This window comes from Homo sapiens, chromosome 8 (genome assembly GCF_000001405.40).
Source record: "Homo sapiens chromosome 8, GRCh38.p14 Primary Assembly".
Taxonomy (NCBI): domain Eukaryota; kingdom Metazoa; phylum Chordata; class Mammalia; order Primates; family Hominidae; genus Homo; species Homo sapiens.
The window spans coordinates 108,771,578-108,795,642 of NC_000008.11; the positions used below are offsets into that span (position 1 = coordinate 108,771,578).

Consider the following 24,065-nt stretch of genomic DNA (forward strand, 5'->3'; position numbering starts at 1 on the left):
GCTGCTGCATCATCAGCTACTTCACTTAATGTTACTTTATAAACATTTCTCCAGATTCTTAAGAATCTTTGCAAATTATGTTTAGTGGTTGTACAGCAATCCAGTTTATGGGCCTACACCATGAGCAATCTCCCTGTTGTTGAGATATGAGGTTTTTTTGGTATTTCCTTTTTTTAGCTAATTCAGTGATAACTGTCTTTATAAACTTTTATCCATCTTTTTGAATATTTCTATTCTAAATTTCCTTGAAGCAGGATGCTGGGAGAAAGGATACCTTGAAGACTCCAGATACATACTGTTAAGTTATGTTCCAGTAAGAAATGTATTAACTGATGCTCCGAAAAGTAACGTATGAGGTATCATCTTTCATAGCAACATTAAATGTTGCTTTAAAAAAAAGAAACATAATTTCCATTTTTATGGTAAAAAAACTACCATATTTTAACATAGTTTAATATTTTAATATGAATTTTTGATTCCTGGTTAGAGTGAATATTTCTATTAACTATTATATACTAATTATTGAGTGTATATTAGCTACTGTAAACTAGTACATTTTTATTAAGACATACCTTAGCATTTGGCTGTCCAGGTGGAATTCATTGTTCTTTTATGTTTTCCTTTGGGTCATGTTTTCTAACTTTAATTGACTTGTCATTTTCCTTTAGAGAGTTTTTTCTTCCTGGGGTTATTTTCCTATACTGGAAACCAAGGTAAGAGGCTGTGTTGGCATTGGGGCCCAACTGACTTGTATGTGGCATGATGGGATGTTCCCATCTTTGCAAGTCAGGAAAAACCAACAAGTGACTAGTATGAGTTAGTATTGATCTGGGTTCTGTGGAGATAAGAGAGGGTCCTTATTCTCCTAGAGTTTTAAAGTCTAGTTGGAAAGAAATGACCAATGCTTGAAACAATTAGTGATCAATTAAGGCAGCCTATACTGAGCAACTTGTGGAATACATACAAAGTGCTACAGCCATTTAAAGAAGGGAGAGATCAATGATAATGTGACTAATCATCCATGAGGTTGGCCTTGGTGGAGGGAAGGGCAAACAGTTTGGGTGAAAAGAACTACAGAAGTAAATGGCAGCCTATTTATTATAGATGAAAAGAGCATGAATTTTTGTGTTAGATCTGGGTGGGAAGGCTCAGCTACACCACTTGGTAACTTTAACCTCAAGCAAGTGTATTAAGTGATTTGAATCCCAATTCTGCCACTTATGAGCTGTGTGACCTTGGGGAAGCTAATAATTTCTATGATAAGTCTAACTTTGCTCATGTATAACATAAGGATAATAAAAGGACCTACCTCACAGGATTGTCATGGGGATTCGATGAGTAAATATGAGAACTGGGGCCTGGCACATTATAAGCACTCAATAGTGTTAGCTTTTATTATTAACTACATAAGCATCAATAAGTAAGTTACTTATTAATATGATATAGTAATGATTCTCCACTACATTAGACAACTATGGGTATTTTGATTGAGAATTGGGCAAATTTGGCACTGAAAAGGAGAGGAAGAGACTAGAACTGGAAGTTTTCCTCGAAATCATGATATACATACTAAATTTGGAAGTGCAGTGCTCAGCTCTGCACTCAGGTCAGTTATTATTCACTGGAGCACACACCCACAGACTTGTTTCCTTCCATTTAGCTTGAGAGCCTGATTTTTCTCTGCAAGGCTCAAAGTCAGCTCTGATTTTTTAAAGATCAAATTCAACACTCTCATCAATATATCCTAAAAAAAGATACAGTTAACATTCCTAAAATAGGAATTAAAATAGACATATAATTAAAATACTAATTAAGTAAAGAGGTACTATATTAGCAACACTAAAGAAAATAGAAGGATTTAGAAAAATCAAAATACTGAGAGTGAAGGTTTTAAAATATGTACGCATTCCTTCTTGACGCTCCTCCCCTAAAACGGTAGAGCCTAGTTTCACTATCCTGGACTGTGGGCTGGAGTTAGTGACTATTTTAATGTATAGGATGAGGTGGAAGTGACAGTGTTTGACGTCCAAAACTGGGCCATAAAATCCTTTGCAGCTTTCTTTCTGTCTTGGGTCCCTCTCCTCAGGGGACCCAGCAGCCTTGTTTGGAGGAAACTCAAGAAGCTCTATGGAGAGGTCCAAGTAGTAAGGAATCAAATCAAGACCTCCTGCCAACAGCCAGCACAAACTTGTCAGCCATGTGAGTGAGTAATTTTGGAATAGAATCCTCAGTCGCAGGCAAGCCTTAAAATGCCCGTAACCCTAGCCAACAGCGTGACTGAAACCTTATGAGAGAACCCTGAGCCAAAACCACCCAGCTAAGCTGGTCCCAAATTCCTGACCAACAGAAAACTGTGTGATAATAAAAGTTTAATTTTTTAAGCTACACTTTGGGGTAATGTATTATGCAGCCATATATGACTTATACACGAAATGTGATCTAAACTAAGATTTTACCATGAGATACTTAACCTAATTCACTTGAGGAAAAAAGAAGGCAAAGCTCATAGTGAACTAGAGGGAGATTTTGATATGTAGAAATGAAGAAAATAGTAGAAAAGCAAACATTAAATAGGAAATTAACTATAAGCAGGTCATACCTTGTGGAACAGACTGGCTAGCTGTTCAAACCCATTTCTTCTTTCTCCCAGATATACTGCTGGACTACATTTCCCAGCCTCCCTTGCAGCTGGATGTGGCAATAATACCAAATGCTAACCAACTGGACTGAAAACCTTCCACAAAATCTCCAATGCTGTCCCTTTTTCTGTCTGCCAGCTAGATATTAACAACCAGAGTAATCTTGGAAGATGACAGAGCCTTTAACAGCCTAAGGTTCTCAATAATAGTGAAGCAGACAGCCCCCCAAACCAGGCTGCTGGAGGATTTATGCCTTCAGTGTGGCTTCTGTAAGTTCTTAGGCAGCTTCATCCAGCCACCAGATTGAGAAGTTAAGTGCATAAAGGCATGTTGGTTTCTTAACCACTAGAGCCAGGAGGTAACTCACGTCACTTTGCTCACATTCCTTTGGTGCAAATTAGCCATTTGGACCTACCTAAGTGGAAAGAGAACTGGGAAATGCAACCCTTGTTTAGGCTGCTGTTCTCTAGCAAAAACTCTACACAAAGTAAATGGGCATGGATCTTTGGCAGATGTGCCATAGTCTCTCCCTTCCTTTAATTTTTTTTTTTTTTTTTTTTTCTGTAGAGACCAGGTCTCACTTTGTTGCCCAGGCAGGTCTCCAACTCCTGGCCTTAAGTGATCCTCCTGCCTCAGCCTCCCAAAGTGTTGTGATTACAGGTGTGAGCCACAACACTTGGCTAGTCTATCCTTTCTTACACACAAAGACTCAACTCCCAAGGAGGAAGACTAAAGGACCCATCCAGAACATGCCTCCAGCTCCAAATCCAAGACCTCCAAAATGTACATAGTATTCTCATAAAGTTGCCAGATGTTGTGATCTGGCAAACTATAAACAGAAGATATGTTACACCTCACATAAAACATATACTAATGGAACAAGGACATGATAACCATAAGAAACAATCTGACATAATCATTGGTTCATCAGAATGCTGAAACTCTGTCAGTCAGGCATTGTGCTGTATTTCTGCCCTGTGGGTGGGGTAAATTCCTTGGATATGCCCTGTCCTTCTTTCTGGAAGGAATCACTTGTCCATTGTTTCCAAGGCCCCTCATTCAAGGCCCTAGGAGTTTCTTCCTTTTATCTATGGCCACATCTAAAATAAGTATTCTGAAACATGCCCTCTTTGGGGGCTGTTCTAGCACATTTTCTAGCCTGTTTCCTACTGCTACAAGTTTGGGGACTCAAATGTTGTTTATTAAGGCTCAAACAGTCTAAGGCTCATGGGTTCTTTGGCAATGTATTTCCCTTACAAACTTAGGCTTTTGTGTTACTTGCTCCCATCAGTTCCGTGTGCCAATAACCATATTAAAATTTTCCTGCCTCCAGCCTGAGTTGTTTCTTTGTTTCCTGACCCATGGCTTCTCTTTTTCAGCTCAACGATGCTCTTTTGAGATTATAAAAAACAGCTTTGACCTTATAATGCTCTTTGACATAAGGCAGCATCACTACTGAACTTTTATCACTCAAAGTCTCTTTCAGCTTCATATTTTACTGTTTAGGGTCAGCCTCTGTCTCTCCTAGCCCCCTTATATTCTGTTCGCAATCAAGAAATTCTTTCCTGAGCTCATCATTTGTATAAGGTGTGGCCGAAGGCTGGGGGTTCTACCCTCTTCCGGCTCTGGTACCCTGGTTTCCCTCCTATGGATCCACTCAGCAGCAGGGGGCATCACTGATTATGCCATTTCAGTATCAGGAGAAAATAAGTTCAATTTTTAGCAACTGTTCTTAATGTCATTTGTATTCCAGAACAGTTACTTTTGCTAATTTGGCAGAATGTGAACAAGGTTCAATAAAATTCAAAGATAAATATAAACACATGAACTCTGTGGTCTGGATAAATGGCAATGAAGAACAGTCTCTTGTCAGAGTGCTTATTGATAGAATCTTTTAAGTTTTAGCTCTATGAATGTTAAAAACAATTCAACCAAATGACAGGATTTTGTTGGGTTTTGGTATGGTAAAAGCTATTTTGTTTAAAAGATAATTACGCTGGGCACCATGGCTCACACCTGTAATCCCAACACTTCGGGCAGCCGAGGCAGGCAGATCACTTGAGGTAAGGAGGTTGAGACCAGCCTGGCTAACATGGTGAAACTCTGTCTCTACTAAAAATACAAAAATTAGCCAAGTGCAGTGGCAGGTGCCTGTAATCCCAGCTACTGGGGAGGCTGAGGCAGGAAAATTGTTTGAACCCAAGAGGCTGAGGTTGCAGTGAGCCAAGATCACGCCAGTGCACTCCAGCCTGGGCAACAGAGTGAGATTCTGTCTTAAAACAAAAGGTAATTAAATATTAATATTTTGCCACATGGCATGCTGATTGGAGTTATGACTATTCAAGGTCTAGAAGATTGTAGTACAAGATATTTACATACCATACTCCACAATTAAACAAAAGACTGTTTTCCAAATTGTTTTTCCGTTCATGAAGGGAGATGTAAATTTCTTTCTTGGAGGGATGTATTTATGATGGTGGAAGCAAGAGACATACAAATAAGCAGTTTCCACATGATGATGATGATGATGATGATGATGATGATGATGAAGGAAGGGAGGAGAGAAAGAGGGAGTGGGGAAAAGGAGGAAGAGGAAATTAAGAAGGAAAAGGAGGATGAGGAGGAGAAAGGAGCATAAGTAAAAAAATATTATGTTTTATCATGATGATCAGTAATCATCTGACAATTGGGCCCAATTCAGTTTTTCATCAGCCGATAATCAACATGAACATATAGGATCCCAAGTACCTACAAAAACTCATATTCTGTAGTTACAAAGAACCTCACTCAAGATAATGGTAGCTGTTATGATGGTATACCAGAAAAGGATTTGTTTTCATTTTTCTCTAACTTTTCTTATTTACGTTCTATCAGAGTCTTGCAAGGCAAACAGTATTATTCTCATTTTACAGATGGAGAAACTTGGATCAGATGTCATTACAAGAGTAGAGGAGCAGGCATTCAAACTTCAGATCATCTGTCTCCATGGTTCTGAAGCCTTTATTATTCGACGTGTTGTGGAGATTATGCAAGATACTGCACATGAACGCAGAATGCCTGGCACATAGTAAGCACTCAAATGTGACTTTCTCTCCGTCCCTGGATCCCTTACTGGAGACTACATAAACTCTATGTTCACTGTTGTGCACATAGAAAGAGTAACTACATTTTCTTTTCAATTCCAAGGAAAAGTGTCAGCATAAGCTTACTTGAGTCTCATTAGGGGTAAGAAGTAGGATGGCTGTGAGTTGATAGTTTTGACATATATTTTGATAAATCACTATATTACCTAAAAGCAAAATAGTGATATGATTTCTTTATAGGAAGGGTTCCTTATTTCTCAGATCACAAGCCTGCTATTTTCTTTAGTTTATAAAATAATAAGCGCAAAATAAAACAGCCAGTATAAATTGATGTTTTTATAAGGGTCATATTCCTTCTAAACTTAATATATAATTTTAGTGAAGGAGTCCCAGATTTTAATTCTTTTCCTACCGCTTATTAGTTATATAACTTTGGCCAGTTATTTGACATTCTCCAGCTTTAGTTTTTCATTTGTAAAATGCAGATAACACTTGCCTTGCAGAGATGCTGTGAGAATTAAATGAGGTGAGGTATAAATTAAATAATACATAGTAAGAACCCAAGAAAGTAAGCACTTCCTCCTGTCCATGAGTTGAAAGGACAAATGTTGGCTTAATCTCCTTTTTTATGATTAAATAATACAATAAAATCATATAGGTAATATATTAAAGTATAATTGTGACAATTTTTTTTTAAGCATTTAATAAAGATCTACTAAATTTGCCTTCTCTGGAGACCTTTAGCATTTTTGGCCCCCAGTATAAATGTATTAATATTAAATTGATCAAGTGATCATTAGAGAAGATGAGAATATTTATGTTCATTGATACATACTCTGCTTGAACAAAACAAAGACCTTAGAAATTCTGGTAGTCATTAGTGTCATTTGCCAAACAGTCCCAATTCTCCTCATTTCAGGGCTCATGATGGAACTGCATTTCCTGGCTTAAGTGGGACTATATGACTAGTCCTGACTAAATACATGTTGACCTGGTGCAGTGTCTCTTTGAGACCTTTCAGACTCTTTTCCCCTCTAGCTTGGCAACCAGGGACATGTAAAAAGGTGGCTGCATCAGACTGGGTCCCCTTGACTGCTGACCTGCAAGGGTCATATAGCGAGAGACTGTGGAAATGTAACAGCATCACTTAGCTTATTCCGAATGATCAGAGGTGGTTAACAAAAGCCAAAAGAACTTCTAGAAAAAAACAGATATCGAAAGAAGTAGACTTTCTTCCTATAAAGGATGTAGATAAGAATCTTGATCCAATTTTTATTCAAAATAGATGGAGCAAGATATGGGGCCTCACTTCCAAATGTCTCTTTAGAGTTTTTGACCTTGACAGCACTTATATATAATAAGGATAAAATTCCAGTTAATAATATAAATTGTGATACATTCTTCAAATGAAAATGGAGATCAAAATTAGATTAAAAGCAGGTGCATAAGTTAATTTGATACTTGTTTCTCACCTAAAAGCTTTCTAGACACTCAGATAAGTGTTTTTAAAAAATATTTATTCATGTATTTTTCCATATCATAAAATGTGTACTCTAATACTGAGTAATTTAGAGAAACCCAAATAACTTGGACTATTTCCTATAAAACAACAAAAAATAAGGCACAGTCTACATTATATAGTGAAATGGTAGCAAGAAGAATGACAAACCTAAATTAGGGGTAAATATTCATTTTAATTTTTTTGGACAAATAATTTCAAATATAATTTTAAAAGACCAAATCAGCATTACAGATTCCAATTTAAATTAAGCTTAATAAACACAATAAAGCCTTTGAATAGTTTTATTTTAAAATGATATGACACACTTGCTATTAACATATAAGGCATCAAGTGCCCTAAGAAAGAGCTCATAACCTTAATAATTGCCCTTGAAAATATCAAAAAGCACATAATCAATGTCAAATTATTTTTGTTTGGCAAGAAAAGTAAAATTAACAGCACGATGAGAACCACAGGGTACAAACTCTCAATACACAATATGTAATAATTAATCTTTCTTTCTTATATGACATTTGTTTGGAGCCTGGCTAGGAAGCCTGAAGATGGCAGTGAAAAAATAGGGAGAGCTGTTCCTGAAACACAGGAGAGTTACCCAAATTTGAAACAAAGGAATATACTCCCCATAGTCCCCTGAAATAAAATAACAATTCACGGTAAAATAATTTCCAAATATCTCACACTCTCATGAGCCTGAAATTGAGAGGTTAAAAAACAAATTAATAAATATTTGTGGGAGGCTGAACAACCAAAACAGGTTTATAATAATTATGGCATCTCATTCTGAGGCTGATTCCAAATTCTTCATTCATGACTTGTGAAAGACTTCTCTTCTTCTTAATGTCAATAGTAAGGCATGCCAAATTCCTATAATAAAATTATTCTAACAATAACTTTGGATATTAAAGCTGTATAACTATAAAATATAGTCCAAATGCACATAGACTTGAGTGCACATAAATCTGCACACAAACATAAACCACGAGTACACTCTTGAGTGTAAGCCACAGATTCTTGAAATTAGTTTTATGTGTTTAAAATAACGTCTTGCTTTTTACAGTGTCAATTCACTAGGCAGGCAAATTATTTCCCAAGACTTATAAAATTTGTGAGATGATAATATAGAATATTATGAACCAAAAACAGATATAGCTAAAAATCAGCCAAAAGGAAATGATATGTTAATTCTCTTTCTTAAGTACTCTTTTTAGACTAGGAAAAGCCAGTAAGACTTCATTATAATCTTCTCATCGTAGTCATTCTTTATGTCCAATTCTGGGAAAGGTTAAACCCATTACAGAGAACAGTAAGTATTGATAGTATTACATCTTGCTGTAATAGGTGAACCACTGGCAAAGGTTGTGAATCTTTTTTGTCAGACCACGTTTTTTTGATGGCATTAATTGCTGCAATGAAATCTGACCTTCAGGTTGAAAAACCTTCTCCTAAGAGATATACATATAGAACACTTTTTTAACTTGACAATTAATCCAAGTAAAATTTTGCATACACCTATCATTGCACACGTGAAAGATGAAGACCAAAATGTTCACATGCTCCTGCCTAGAATTTTTGCTTGTCAGAAGGTGGTAAAAAAAAATAGAGCCATTGGGTTCAGGCTTTTAATTCTCAATATTTAACTAGCATGGTGCTCAGTCACTCATTTATCAAGATTAAGTCACCCCTTATACTGGGGGGACTGAGGTAAAGGCACACATAAGTTTGGCAGCGCAGTCTCTTTTCAGAAATTGTACCTTGAAGGGCATGTGCCAGCACTGGTCCAATTGGGTCCCTAAAACAAATAAGTATGAGGGGGATGAACTCATATTTTAAGCAGACAGCAAAGCATGTGATGATATCAAGGCAAGTAACTTGATAGAACAGAATCAAGGGTTATAGCAGTCATGTGGGTAAAAGCAACCATGGCCTCCAAGAACTTCATGGTTCCAAGCAGTCTTGTCTTCCTGTAAACTATAAATCACCTACACAGTGGGGAGCATGACGAAAAGCTGTTCTTTATATGAGGGGCCAGTACATCTTATTATGTGATCTGCTTTAAGAGCTCCCAATGGGTGGGAAGGACACACAGCGCTGCAAAGAAAACTCTTTGCAAACTCTACCACTAACAGTTTAAGGTGCCCTAAAAAGAACTGGCTTATAAAGATATTAGGAGCCTTAAATCATCCACCAGCAGCGTGTAGATCCCAGTAATAAAGGAGAAAGACAGCTTTCTTTCTGTAACTCACCCCATTGGGCCACACTGCTGAAAGACGAGCTGTCTTCTCATTGAGACTAGGAAGATGACTCTTGAGTTTAGATTTCTAAAACCATGTAAATAAGCTAAAGACCTAGAACCACTGAAATATGTTTTTCTTCTCTAGGACTAGCAATAAAAACTTTCACAGGTAACAACCAGCACCATATTGAAGAGACAGACGGAAGGTCACAAATCTCCATGAAGGATGCAAGACCAAAACTATAGGTATTGTATGCCCAATGTCTATAGAATGCATCACCTGGTCTTGCCAAAGTACCTCTAGAGCCAAAAACACTCTTTGTCAGATTGGGAAAAACAGGAAATAAAGCACATGGCTTTTCTTTGCCTGTGTTACCATCATTTTAAATTCAAGTAATCTTCATATTGAATTCAGGCAGGATGGATAAGGGCTACATAAACCAAATACCCAGGGAAAAGTCGATTAAGGCAAGTATCTGAATAATGTCACCACAGCCCAAAAGAAGTCATTCAGATGATTTTCAAAATCATGTAATGTGTAATGGTTTGCCCTCAGATAAGTAGAACCTTAAAAGAGAGGTGCTCTATATGTTAGCAGATTTAAATAATGTTGAAGTGTGCATTTACTTACCACATTTCGATTTTAAATTTTAAAGGAAATTATAGCATTCTAGGGAAAAGAAAGGAAATGTATTTTGATGTGTTAGGTCTTTTTCTCCCCCGTTGAATATTTTTTTTCCAAAATGGCATTTTTCAAAATGTTACCTCTAGATCAAATCTATATTATTTGGTAGCCCTGCAAGATTCATTAAATGCTTCCACATGAAAAGCTTTATTATCAAGTGAAAAGACCTCCTAACACTTGATTCCCAAACTCCTCTTCCTTCATAAACTGAAAATTGATTCCACATTAATTCAGTTTAGTCTGCCATTTGGCTAATTAATCCTGTTTCACCAATAAATAAAAACTCAGTTGATCTCATTTAGCTTCTATGAATAAACATTAGTTTTTTCTTTAATGCCTTCTTTTTTTTAATGCCTTCTTTTTTTAACACACAGCTCAGACCTACTCACTCAGCAGATCGTTTCCTTCTTGTTTCAACATCATCCAAAGTGGATCCTTAAGCAGGCTAGAGCTGGACTTAGAAACCTTCAGAATATAAAACTTATACCACTGGTAAGGCAGCCTCAACAAAAATCATGAAATGAGAGTCACAGTAAAACAAAGTTTGTTCAAAAAGCACAAAAATACAGCAACAGAAAGCAAAAATCATGTTTATGTCATCTCAATTCTTTCTTTTCAGTAATCAGTATTGCTCTATAACATAAGGCAATTAACTACATCTAGCTTCCTCTGATGGCCATATAATTTCTCATTTTTACTTAATAATTCTTTCATATGCCCATCCTCTCTTTTTACTATCTTCTGAGCCTCCCTTTTTGTATTTCAGTTCAACCCTTAAGTCATATGCAGCATACCTCACTCATCAAATCAATCTGACACCCATGAGAGCTCATCCACATAAATATCCTGATTCACACATTTTGCCAAAGTCACCCATGTATTCCACAGTTGTCCACAACACCACAAACTTCAGACATTTGAAATAGCCTTTAAAAATCTGCAAAGAAATCACTTTCTTACTTCCTCATTCCTGCTGTCTCATACCAATTCCCAGCTCCTGTCCTCTTTTTAAGAATGACCCCCTGATCCTGGTAACACAATCATGGAAGTTACAACAACTCTTAGAGCACAGGTTGGAAAAACCTCCAGGCAGAGTTGCAAAATGTAAGGTATTTCTGAGGCTGCATTTCCCATCCCTTTTCTGAACCGTCACCATAATGAGGCGGTCTGTCACTGTGAACACCCAGTGTGTGTCTTGCAAAGTGAGCACCTTGCTCATCATGCTGCTCTTAGAGAAGAGTTTGTGCTGCATGAGGCAAGAGTTCACAGTTGCTGAATGACATCTAGACCACTGTGAGTGGGAGGTGAGTTCTGACGATGACTACAGTCCCCATTAAATCAGTGTATTGAATCTCTCTTTCCATTTTATTTTTTTTTGGCTTTGGGCTTAAGGACTGTTGCTACCATGAGGGAAGTGCTCGTTGCTTGGCCTACAGCAAGTGATACAGCCTGCGAGGCACAGTCCCCAAAAGTCTAGCTGCAATTCTATTGGTGGTTTTCCCCAAACAGCAATAACAAGATGTTACCTGGAAGCACACCAGAGCCAATCATGACTCAGGCCTGTCTAGATGTTTAGATGTCTGGAAATATATTTAAAATGTCTCATGCCTTGCCTCTTGCTGCTGGTGTGAGAACCAGCAGACTTCAAGAGCACAGATAACCAGTATGATGGCAAAATCACAAAATATAAAACTTATATCAGTAACTAATTTGACTTCATTTTAAAAAAGAGCCTGTGACCCTGGCTAATATCTGGCACCAACACTGTGGTTTAAATTCACATTGGTCTTACAATGATTTACATAATTTTTTTTTATTAGAAAGTTTATCCTAATGACTTAATTACCATTTTTGAAAACAGGAATAATTTCAAACATAACATTTTTTACAATAAGGAAAGCCCAACATCCTCAAACTTCAAAATATTCAAACTAAAAATTCCATGTTTTAGTGTTTAGCCAAATTACAAGAAGGATAATTTAGCAAGAAAATGGATAAGCACCTTTGAGAATTAGATGTAAGCCTTATTATTGATTAGTGCTTAGTTCTTTTTCACAAAGTAGATTAGCAATTGATCCTACTGTGTGTAGGACCACCTAGTGTCCAAAGAATAACATCATATATTTGTGTAAAAGAAATAATTTGTAGACTGGGTCATTAGAAATATTTTTCTATCGAAGTAGAAGTTCTTGGCCATTACAGATTAATTAGCCTTCAGCTCTTCAGAAGGATAGGTGTGGCTGGTTGTGGTTTCTTATACATCTTACATGGCTTTTCTTCTAAATAGAAGACACATAGAGAACAAAAACACTTACTGGCTGTTGGTTTGTGAAATAAACTTTTCTTGCCAGGCAAATAAATTGCACTGTGAATTTTTATAAATTAACTTTTTTCATATTATAAAATGCCAAGGCAGACTCTCAAGATATTCACAACCAGAATTAACTCTGTACAGCAAGCGCATCTTCCTCTACCAAGGACAGTTCCAGAGTGTTTTCATTCGTGCTGGTTTTCATCCTGAAGTTGAAAGAACCATAGAGTTTTGCAGACTCTTTGGAAGAGGCAAATCTGTTTCGACGATAGAGCTCCCCCTTCCACATGGACATCATTAACAAGCAGGACAGGATGACGCCCCCCAGCGTGAGGAGGCAGAGCCCCGCAATCACACAGCGGTCCAGGTGAGCCCCCAGCCTCGCACTCTCCTTCTCCAGGCGCTCCATCTCCCGGGCTGCCACAGTGTTGGGGTCCACAGTCACTTCCCGTGGGACGATGTAAGAGATGATCACGAGCAGGATCCCAGTGACCAAGAACAAGATGGCGCTGATGAAACCATAGTCTATAGACTTCCCTGAAGACGTGGCTTCTGAACTTGTATCATCCTCCTCTTCAGATATCAAAGATATGGCAGCCTCTTGGGACCACTCATTTGGATTTTCCCAGCCAAGCTCCCCAGGGTGATTATGCCCTTTTGCTGATGGCGAGCTCCGGTTCCGCTGCTCCAAGTTGATGTTTTTGTCCACATAGGTAAAAGAAGTTTCTAATTCCTGGCTGCAGCAGTTACAGACTTTCCGTTCCGCTGTTATTTGGTTGTTCCCTGAGTGGAGAAGTCCTGGTGGAAAGGCATCTGGCTGAAGAGTACTGTTTTGCAGAGAGGAGGAGGGGGATGCTGGAGAAGAACTAAGTTTAGACCCTTCCATCTCGGTTGCTCTTGGGGTGGATGCACACTGTTTCTGACAGCAGAGAGCAGCTCTTGTGGCTGCTGTATCTGCCTGGTCACCAGGCAGCCCTCTTGAACTCCAGTCCCTGGCATCACAGAGGTCTGCCTGGTTGCTCTTCTTAGCAAGGTAGTGGAGCTCCATGAGAGCTAGTCAGACATCCCCCAGCAGCTTCCGGAAAGTCTGCCAATAGCAACAGAGTTAGATAAGAACCCAACAGAAGCTAAGGTTGTACTTCCAGGAGTGTTGCTCCTGGGGTCCCCATTTCCTTCACAGCTGCACCTGTTTAGCCCCTTTTCCACCTCAAACAGGCAAAAGAAGGGAGGGGATACCTAGTGGCAGGAAAGTGTGGAAGGGACAAATGCTCTCACTTGTCATAGTGATTAACACTGAGAAACTTAAGTCAGGGTAGAAAGGTGCGTGGAGGAAGTGGCAGTGTCTACTGAGAAAGAATACTGCCGTCACCAAGCCAAATTTATTCAAGGACTCGCGCATTCCTGCAAAAGGATCCCTCAAACGAGAAGGCAAGTTTCCTGTAAAAAGACAAATGAGAAAGGCAAGAGCCCTTTTTAGCAGAGCTGCCGATTTTCTGGAGGACTTGGGGAAGCATAGACTTGTTAATTCAGTAAGATTGTAAGTGTTTACACTCTCCCTAGTTCAGAGCAAATTCTAATACAGATTAGCTTTGGAGCATCACCATCAGTGAATGACTATACACCCCTATCAGCTGGGCAGGAACTCAGCATTTTGATTCCATAGCTCTGAAGTAGATGAAAAAGGCCAGCTTAATCAGCCACCTCTGCTAAGCTTACACCTCATACATCCAATGACCCTAGTGACACAGCCCTGTATTTACAAGACCATATGCTGCTTATTCACTGTGCTTCCACTTAGCCCTATTCCCTCACTGCTCCATGGGGGAAGCATGTTCTGGACCCCAAAGCATACAGGCAACAGACCTTACGGCAATCCCTGCAAAATACAATGGGCCAACCCACTCCTCCACACACACACCTGCCTGCTCCAGCTGCAGGATCTGCTACTCCCGTTCCCTGGGTCTGTGTTCCTCCCTCTCTGCATGCTTTGCTATCACACAATGCACAAGAAATTGACCATCTGGATAGTTTTACAAACCCAATCTAGAAGTGAACTGATAATAAAAGACAAACTATAAACCCACAGAGTAAGAGTTCTGTGGAGACAAATAGGTGAGAAGCTATTTCCAAGGTTACCTCTGTAATTTTATAAACATGTCACTCCTCACCCCCGACTGCAGCAAGGGGCATTTCTGGGAGAGAACTTTGGTTTGAGCAGAAAACCATCGGCTTTTCTCTGCCTCTGCCATGTTTCTAAGGAATAAAAATTCACTTTCCACTATCATTAGAGATTTTAACCAAAGGCTCCTTTTATTTTGCTTCCAAATCCAGGGTGATAATTGATTTAACCCAACGGCTTGAGGCTTCTTATAATTCAAAATCCACAGCTCCAAAGCTGGTAACAGAAACACAGGCAAGGGTCACCTAAGGTCAACCTGGCAACTCAAAATATGGGAGAGGGAATTGACATGTTTTCTGCTACACCTAAGAGTTTGTTTAAAACAAAACAAAAAAAGCAAAACAGAAAACGTTTTTCTCCTGTTATCGGAGTTTCTCTACAGTGAAAACAGCAAAAAACAACAGGGCAAAAGAATCACTACTAAACTAGAACAAACCCCCACTAAAGGATCCCTCAATGAATGAAGTGATGGTAACAGGCTTCATCAATTACCGATAACTCTTCTTCCAGTTTTCTCAGGCATTAGGGGCTCTGATTAACCTTTGGTACCATTAACTCATCACACTAGCCTACCTTGGATAAAATCAGCAGGGTTCTTTGAGACTTTCAGTTTATAACAAAAGAAGAGAGAAATCCCCACTTAATTCCCTACGGCCGCCTCTACCTCTCTTTAAAGAAAAGCTACTCCCGCTTGTTCGCTTGTTCTACCGGAGGTATGCTAGCAGCACAGTCGATTTCCTTTGCAGCTCCCTAATCCGGGGTTTCCATTCTCAGTGGAGAATGGATAATCCCAGGGGACCAGCTAAAGACTCTTTTCTTCCGTCCTCTCCCTCTTTTTCCTCTGATCTGCTTAAAAGCCCAGTTAACGACATTGCACCTTAAAGCGAGGGGACACGCACTTTCCCTCGTCCATCTGTCATCAATTAAAAGCATTAATATTTGCTTTAAACTGACACAGGCAAGGCTGATCTCGGGGAGGCGACCTCTGGATGCGCCCTGTGCGAGCAAAGCCGGGAGAGCGAGCCCCAAGCACCTGGCAGCGGTGCCCCCAGCAGGCGCCGAGGAATCCGGCTATCCATTTCTGGTGAACTCTGCGCCCACTGAGGCATTCGAGGTACGGATGTGTCCGCCTAGTACTCGGAGACGAAGGAGAGAGAGCGGGGATATGCGCTCCAGCTCTGCTAGGCTCCAGGGCTCTCACCCTTGCATTCAAAGCCTCCACCCCATCCCACTCCCCGCCACTCACCTTCTGCTTCGGCCACCCGGTGCGGCTCCAGCACCGCGCGCTCTCCCGGCACGGTTCCCGGAGAAAGTCCCCCAATCACCAGCTACGGCACTTGTAGCCTCTGCACGCCGCTCGGCTCCGCCGGGTGGGCAGCGCCCGCCACGGCGGGCGGGGTGGGGCGGGGCGGGGCGCTCCCGGAGCATCCCGGGAGTTGTAGGCCAGGGGCGGTCCCTGCATCCCTCCTGTCTCTGTCTCCTCCCACGCCTTCTGGGTTTTACCCTTCCTGCAGATGAGTTCCCGCCATACCCTCTTACTCCTCCCCAGCACTTAAGAAGACAGCACTGTTTTCTAAGCCTAGAGTGGAGTTCCCTAGCCTCAGGTGTGGCCACAAGACTGTGAAAAGGAAAGTATATTCGACTTCAAATGTGCCAGATAATTTGCATATTTTGTCTTTTTAATAGTCAAAACAAATCTTCCAAGTAGATTTTATTAATCCTCATTTTACAGATGTGGAAACAGGCTCAGAGAGGGTAAGTGCCTCATCCACAGTTACCAACAGCAGCTTCTGAAATTGCATCCAGGAGTCAGATTCGAAAGTCATTGCGTGTCTCACAAAATCAGAAGAAATATGACCATAAGGGGTAAGAGATTGTCCGATGTACCAACACATCCCCTGTATTTAGCACAGTGGTATTCGTTGAATGTATGAATAATAATGACTCAAAATAACAGTTAACATAAATAGCGCTTATTATTGCCAGGCTCTCTTCTAAGCACTATAGATACATTATCTCATTTAATGGTCACAATTTATTGTTAAAGTACTGTAAAAAAAAATCCTCATTTTAACAGAAGGCAAAACTGAGTTACAAAGTAGAATAATTTGCCCAATGTCACACAACTAATACTTAGCAGAGGTGGGGGGGGGGGGATGAACACCAACAGATTCTAAGCGTTATGCTATATGGAATGAATGGAAGAAAGACCAGAAGGCCAGAATAAAAGGGCTCAGGAATAAAGGAAATCTGAAGGTTGAATCTTCTGAGTTGTGACTCTTAGGATAGGACAAGGTAACTGTGTCACCAGCCTCTTTCAACCAGAGTGGACTGCAATAGCCAACAGCCACTGAAAGCCCAGGGTATGTGTAGCTTGCAGATAATCTCCAGTTTTCCAGCATCCTGTTGGGACAATTCTAGGGGAGCAAAAAAGGATTATAGTATGGATGGGCTGGGCACGATGGCTCACGCCAGTAATGCCAGCAATTTGGGAGGCCGAGGCGGGCAGATCACGAGGTCAGAAAATCGAGACCATCCTGGCCAACATGGTGAAACCCCGTCTCTACTAAAATAGAAAAAATTAGCCGGGCGTGGTGGCGCGTGCCTGTACTCCCAGCTACTCAGGAGGCTGAGGCAGGGGAATCGCTTGAAGCCGGAGGCGGAGGTTGCAGTGAGCAGAGATCGTGCCACTGCACCACTCCAGCCTGGCGACAAAGCAAGACTCCGTCTCAAAAAAAAAAAAAAGAAAAAAAGAAAAAAGGGATTAGGGATTATAGTATGTATTATGACATTGTGCTTGTAGCTCACATAAATACTGTGGTTGCTTGCTTTCAAAAGAGAGATCTATCTCCTTTAATGACAATTATGTTGGTATTTCATTACATTGGATAGAATCTATAGTCACATGATTACAGGAGTTCACAATGCTCCCTCTTTAAAATTCTTTTTCCCCCATATGATTATATTTGTAGCCAGTGAGGCCCATTTGTTGATAAACATGACAGATGTATTATGACTTCTCCTTTGCTTACTACACGGTTCTCCAGCATGAATATCTTTCCTCCACTGCCCTATTCCATCCACACTTCAAGGACTAGTTTGTCAAGCCAAATCTACAGGGATGCATCCAGTTCTTAGTACTACATATGCAAAAAGAAATAAAGAGAGAAACTAAGATGTAGAAGGAACTTGAATTTATGTTGACGAGGAAAAACTTAGGAACTTAGGCTATTTAGCCATAGGAGAATACTGAGAGGAAACAATAAACTAGCTTCAAATATTCTGAAGTTTCTAAAAATAGAAGAAGAATTCTATAGTATATTTAAAAGGGTAAAAGCAGAACAAATAACAATAATACTTTTTTGTTAGTGCTATTATGTTATCATCTTTAATTTTTACACCAACTTCACAAGGGAGGCAGTATTATTGCACCCATTTTGCAATGTAGAAATTGAGGCTTGAAAAGATGTAGTTTCTTTTCCAAGGCCTGAAAACTAATATCGGGCAGAGCTAAGGTTCTAACTTGGGTCTGTGTGATTCCAGAGACTTGATCTCTTTGCCAACACATTATACTGAGCAATGCTTCACAATCTTTTTTACAGCAGAGTACACATAAGAGGTGATACTATTTATGGCAATGTGATAAACACAGGAGGTTTCTCATGGCCATAGTTCTGGGGCTGTGGGTACTTCAGTCTCTGCAGGACAGCTTGGAGGGCTAAGGAAATAAATAAGTCAGCACACCTGTGACACACTGGAGTGCTGGAGGATGCCAAAGCACTGATCTGAGAAGCTCTGGATAGCACTATTAAATTTAAGAAGGAGGCTGATTTGAGACTTTGTATAAGGAAGGACATTATTTCTAAAACTTTTAAATTGATGTCTCATGAAAGCAAATTCTCTGGTACTGGTGAGGATTAAAAAAAAAAAGGAGAGCCATTTATTAGTGATTTCATAGAAGGGATTCATCTAGTTGGATTAGAGGACCTCTGTGATTCCCAGGCTGAACTGATTTTAAGTTACTTTTTTTTTTTCCCTGAAGCCTTTTTCTTCCAAGGATTACACCTCCTGTGAACTTTGCTGGGACTTGTCAGTACTGGTGTTTTTGATATTTATCATCCACTGCTTTACGACATTTCTGGAATGGCTAGGTAGCCACTGCATGTGGTTTAACTTCTCACTTAGGTGCCTAAATCTCTAAGGTAATCAATCATAAACTCCTTAAGGTCAGCATCTACATGCTGAACACCTTACCTCCTGCAGAAAGTGCAGTATTTCTGTTGAGAGGGAAGATGTCAAGACTGAACTGAAGACTCGAGATGATTACCTATAATAATACTTGACTGTCTACATATTCTTGAGCATTAAAAATATATCAATTCCAACCAACACCACAAAATCCCCTTTAAAAGTCTGCTGACAAAAAATAGAGATGAACCAATTGAGCACTTGAAAATAAAAGCTCTGCAAAAATTGCCACTTGCTGGAATACTTTCCCCCTCTCTCATAAGTCTATGTCTAAAACTTTCCTGAAAATTGACCCAAGAACCTTTTTCAAAAGCCTTTCTTGTTCAACGTCCTCAACTTATCGTTACCTTTCTAACTGGCTTTCTAGTAGCATAATATGCTTTCTTTTATGCTGTTATTTTAGATATAGAAAAGTATTTCATGTATATTTTATAGTGCTTTCTATGTGATCTCTCCAGATAAAATTTAAGCTCCTTGAGAACCAACATATTCTTTCTATTTCTTTGAAGCTATATGTGGGCATGAAATAGTGCGACACATAGGCAACAGTAGTTCCTCAATATATGCTGATAAAACAATTCACAGTTGTAAAATGTTATCTAGAAATCTACATAATGATTTTGGTCTTACTCTAATTTTAATGTCTCACATTTTCCTGTTTACTTATACTCCGTTTCATGTGAGAGGAGCAATCGTTACTACACTAAGTTAACTAGTTGAAAAATAAGAAAAATTCTGAGAAGTAAATTTACCATGTAAATCAAGGGTAGTGCTGGGACTTTTAACAACCAGCCTCTTGTAATAATTACTGAGGATGTGTTCCAGTTTCTTTTTCTTCAGTAATAATAATAAGGGCTGATTAGTGGACTATTAAGGGATTATTAGTGGAGTTATTATTATGAGAGGCTGGGTCCTAGAGAAGTAAGAAAGACATTTTTGGAATAGGCTGGAGGGAGGATCAGTCATTGAATAGGGATAGCATGAGGAATATGGTCCTATACCCCATACTGGTGCTAAGAATGAAGGTGACCATAATTTAGAGAATGAAGATCTTGTTAATGAACAAGATTCTAGGAACAAAAAAAAGCATTAAATTAGAAAGGTTTCCATTTAATAAGAATGCTTACAGTGGCCAAGTAGGCATGTTACTTAAATAAAGTGGCTGAATACAGACAATAGGGATGGGGAAGATTACCGAAGTTAAGAGCAAGTGCCTTTCCCAAAAGGGGCAGTATCCCCTAACTGTTCTACCTGAGTTTTGTCTTAAGTGAATTTAGACATTAATGAAAGTCAGATATCACAATTTGTTATTCAAAATTCAATGTATTTTAAACCCTTAATGAGTCAGAGAAAAAAAAAATTATTGGGAACATTTGTTTCCCGTAGTAATAGACTAGGTAATTTAGACCTACTCACTGCATTTGGCTTTGAAGAAATGTATTTATATTTGAAACATTTAGAGAACCCAAAATTATTGCATCCAAGGAGCAAAGATTTTTTTTTTCTATCTTTTGGGGAGGGGTGGAAAAGATAGTTTTCTCTTGCTTCTGTATGTAAACACACTAAATTATTTTTTTCTCTTGTTTCTCATCTGTGATACAGACTTCAAAGTTTGTACGCCTAGGACATCTGACCTGGCTTTCACTGTGTTGTGCCAAGGGTAAGAATTGGGATCCAGAGGACCGCATGGTCATTATTTGCTCTTAAGTAAATCATCTGTTTCTGATCCAACACCATGTGTACCTTCAGGATAAAATTAATAAATATGAATATTAAAAACACAACAATAAAACTCAAGAAAAGAAGCTAGCCACTAAAAAATACACAATGTGCAGTTCTATTACATAATTTCATTGATATTTAGTTAGTTAAGAGGCAAACTATACCAAAGTATTTGGAGATGTTAGCAAAACAATAAAGAAAAGCAAGAATGCAGTTACCATAAATGTCAAGAGGTAGGTTGCCTTTGTAAGGGAAGAAAAGAGTAGTGATTCTGAGAAGACTAAAGGGGAGGCTTCTGAGACCTGGCACTATTTCTTGACCCGGATGTGTTTACAAGGGTGTTCTCTTTGAGCTAAATTATCGGAGGTAACCCTCTTTATTTCATGTACTTTTCTATATGCAGTTGTTCATGATAAAAAGCTGTTGGATTGGATTCAGCTGTTGGAGTGGATTCAGGTTCCAAACACCTAATTTGCAATCTCTGCATTAAGGGTTTATATCAAAATCTAAGCGTTCTGTTTTACCTTAAGAAGAACCTGAAGATAGTTTTCTCTGACTTACCTTCACCTGGCATCTTGCTATGCATGGCAGGGTGAGGAGTGTACAAAGGTATGCTATTCAGATTCTCCCGAAACGCTTACAACATTAGGATTTAAAGTAATCTGGGCACTGATATCTCAAAATAAGAAATATGGAAACATTTCATGTCTAATATTTTGTATATAAACTTTATGACACCTTTAGAAAGCACAATATGGGGAGAATATTGGACATTGGTAGAAGGATTTGGGTCTGTTGGTTGCATAAAGGCCCTGTTGTCTTTAGGCCACAGATTTCCTTTATAATTAAACTTACTAGAAACAAGACTGCATTCACTGGCCCTAATCTTGTACCTTCATTTTCTTTTTAATCTACTATTGCTGTTAGGGTCCATGTTAATTTAATTAAGTAAAAAACACAAGTTGACAGCTATGGGTTGAATCTGATCTAAATACATGGTTTTATTGGTGCATTGAGTTGTTACAATTTATTTAGGTATTTATCAAATTTGGAAATTTGGAAGATTTGAGAAAGCTATTTGGATTTCTGGTTTCTCTTGAATTATATGAAAAATCCTGAAACGTGGACCTCACTTTTGTATGTTAACAATTAACTAGAGCTTAGTAGGTTTTGCACTCTGTAGATGGGACATAAAGTATCCAGATTTTCATAGTTCTCACCCTTAACTTATATCTGGCTCAGTTCTCCTACTACTTAGCTTTTGCAGATATGTGGGTTTGCTACCAGTTCCTTAACAGTAAGTCTCCAGAGAGAGGTATTTCACATGAGGCAAAATCAATAACAGGTAGCCTTCTGTGCACTCTTCTGCTATCTCCTTTCCCAACTCTTGCCCAATGCTTTTCTTCCACATTCACTCTTGATTGATGTGTTTTTATTAAATTTAGCCCTTTTTGGCTTGGCATTTTTGATATCTGCTCTATATTTCCTGAGTACCCTTCCATTTGCTCATTTAAATGACTGCTTGCTGCTCACCTCTTCACATGACCTTTTAGGGAACAGAACCATTCCTGATACCATTCTACCATGATCTCAAGAAATGTTTCAATGTCTTAAACTCTTTCCTTGTCTTTTTATTACATCCATTTCTAGAGACAAAACCCAGTTTATGAGATCATCACTGCACTGAATGCCTGTGTTAAGGTCATTAACAATTTTAAGTAATTCAGCCATTCACTCAATAGCCATTAATTATCAACTAGTTCTATGCTGGGTGCTGGAGGTGCAACAATGAACTGAATGGATACATCCCAACTTTCAGGGAGCTTATGGTCTGGTGAGGAACATGCCAGTTTAACAGGTAAGTATAACACCATTTCATAAGTGTTGTAACAAGGGAAATAGATAATACAATGGGAACCTACAGGAAGAGAACCGAATTCTGAATTGGAAGGGTCAAAGTAGGCTCCTACATGATGTAATATCCAAGTGATACAAATATAGAAAGAAACTGGCCATTAGAAGAATAAGGCAGGATGAAGATGAACTTCTGACAATTCAGAAGTGAATTATTGGAACTGAAAAACGTTTATTATGTCTTCAGTATGAAGTGTGAGATGAGGAATGTCAAATAACGATAGTAGAAATGTTAGTAGAGGACAGATCATCTTTGGTCTTCTAAGTAAGGATAAGGTGTGTGGACTTAATTCTGAAAATAGCAAAGTGCTAAGGATGGTTTTCAAGCAGGAGAATAATATCATATTCAAATTTTGAAAAGATCCTTCTGGGGAATAGATGGAAATGAGCTTGTCTAGTGTCATCAAATAGCTAATAATAATCATCCAAGCAAGAGGTAATATCAGTGAGATCTAAATGTAAAGACACAGGTAAGTTATAAGGAAAAGATATATCCTGCAAACATTAATCAGAAGGAAGCTGAAATGGTTATATTAAAGCGAGCTTCAGGACAAAGAATATTACCAGGGATAGAATGAAACAATAAGTATAAAAGCATCAGTATATCAAGAAGACAAAACAATCTTAACTATGAATGCACTCCTTGAATCTCTGTTCAACAACCTTTCCAGTTCTAGCCAGTGCAACATGTGTGGAAATGATGTACATTAACTTCCAGGCCGAAGTAGTTATGTGTCTGATATTTCTGCCCTTGTACTCTTCATACCATCTTCTATCTCTATATGATGCTAAAATGACCTTGAAACCACAATATGGAAGTAGCCAGAGTTGCTGAATCACAATATAGAGGAGAACCACCAGATGCATATAAGAGATAGATGTGAGCATCAAAACAACTTCTACTGTGGCAGTGAAGTTTTGGGCTTACTTGGTATAACAGCATTTTCTCCTTAAAAAGGAGGTCAAAAAGGAGCTCAGAAAGTGGAAATGAGTGATCTGTTCATCTACCTATATAGATAGTGGTTTAAGCAATTACTGTATTTTGCTTTCTTTAATATTAAAAGGGATAAATATTTTAGTTTAGATTTTCCATGTAATTATTATTACTACTAATTTTTTAAGTAATATTATTCAGTGCTTAAACTATCTTTCTACTTGACTTTTCCACTCTCATCTGCACCTTTCCCTTTTCTATAAAATAGACATGTTAGAAAAGCATAATACCTTATATCTATATTTTATACTTTCAAACGTACATCAGAGGAATAATTAAGTCAGATTCCTATACATGCATAAACATATGTCTCAAGAGCAGTATGTCCCCAAATATATCATCTATATATAAATATTAGTTTCATGAGATATATAACTAAATAATTCTGGAAGAAAGGATTCCTCACTTTGAAAATTCAGCAGGTTTCATTACTGTAGGGCTTCTGAGACCCTTTGATTTGCTAATATATGATTTTAAGCTCCAAGGGCAAGAGATGTTTTTAAGGTTTTCCCAAACTTACAAGATTATGGATCTT

The 24,065-nt window shown here is 38.7% G+C and overlaps 1 protein-coding gene across 2 annotated transcripts in view, besides 2 other annotated features; it reads right to left on the reverse strand.

The window, feature by feature from the left end:
- The window catches only part of TMEM74 (transmembrane protein 74), a 180,745-nt gene extending 164,728 nt beyond the window's left edge, over positions 1-16,017 (reverse strand). The window contains exons 1-2 of one of the 2 annotated variants that reach the window (NM_153015.3): positions 15,899-16,017; positions 7,397-13,560 (exon numbers count right to left, since the gene is read on the reverse strand). In NM_153015.3, coding sequence (NP_694560.1) covers positions 12,604-13,521 — 918 coding nt within the window. In that variant the 5' untranslated portion in view covers positions 13,522-13,560; positions 15,899-16,017 and the 3' untranslated portion in view covers positions 7,397-12,603. Of the gene's footprint in view, positions 1-7,396; positions 13,561-15,898 lie in introns of those variants that run through there. The other variant, NR_136411.2, reaches the window with a different exon arrangement.
- Positions 15,243-15,537: a silencer, noted in NCBI's record as "tiled region #8108; K562 Repressive non-DNase unmatched - State 18:Pol2". NCBI's record gives its function as "represses a minimal TATA promoter and a strong SV40 promoter by Sharpr-MPRA in K562 cells {active_cell/tissue: K562}" and the evidence as "EXISTENCE:reporter gene assay evidence [ECO:0000049][PMID:27701403]".
- Positions 15,953-16,132: a silencer, noted in NCBI's record as "silent region_19468". NCBI's record gives its function as "represses an Ori minimal core promoter by ATAC-STARR-seq in GM12878 lymphoblastoid cells {active_cell/tissue: GM12878}" and the evidence as "EXISTENCE:reporter gene assay evidence [ECO:0000049][PMID:35858748]".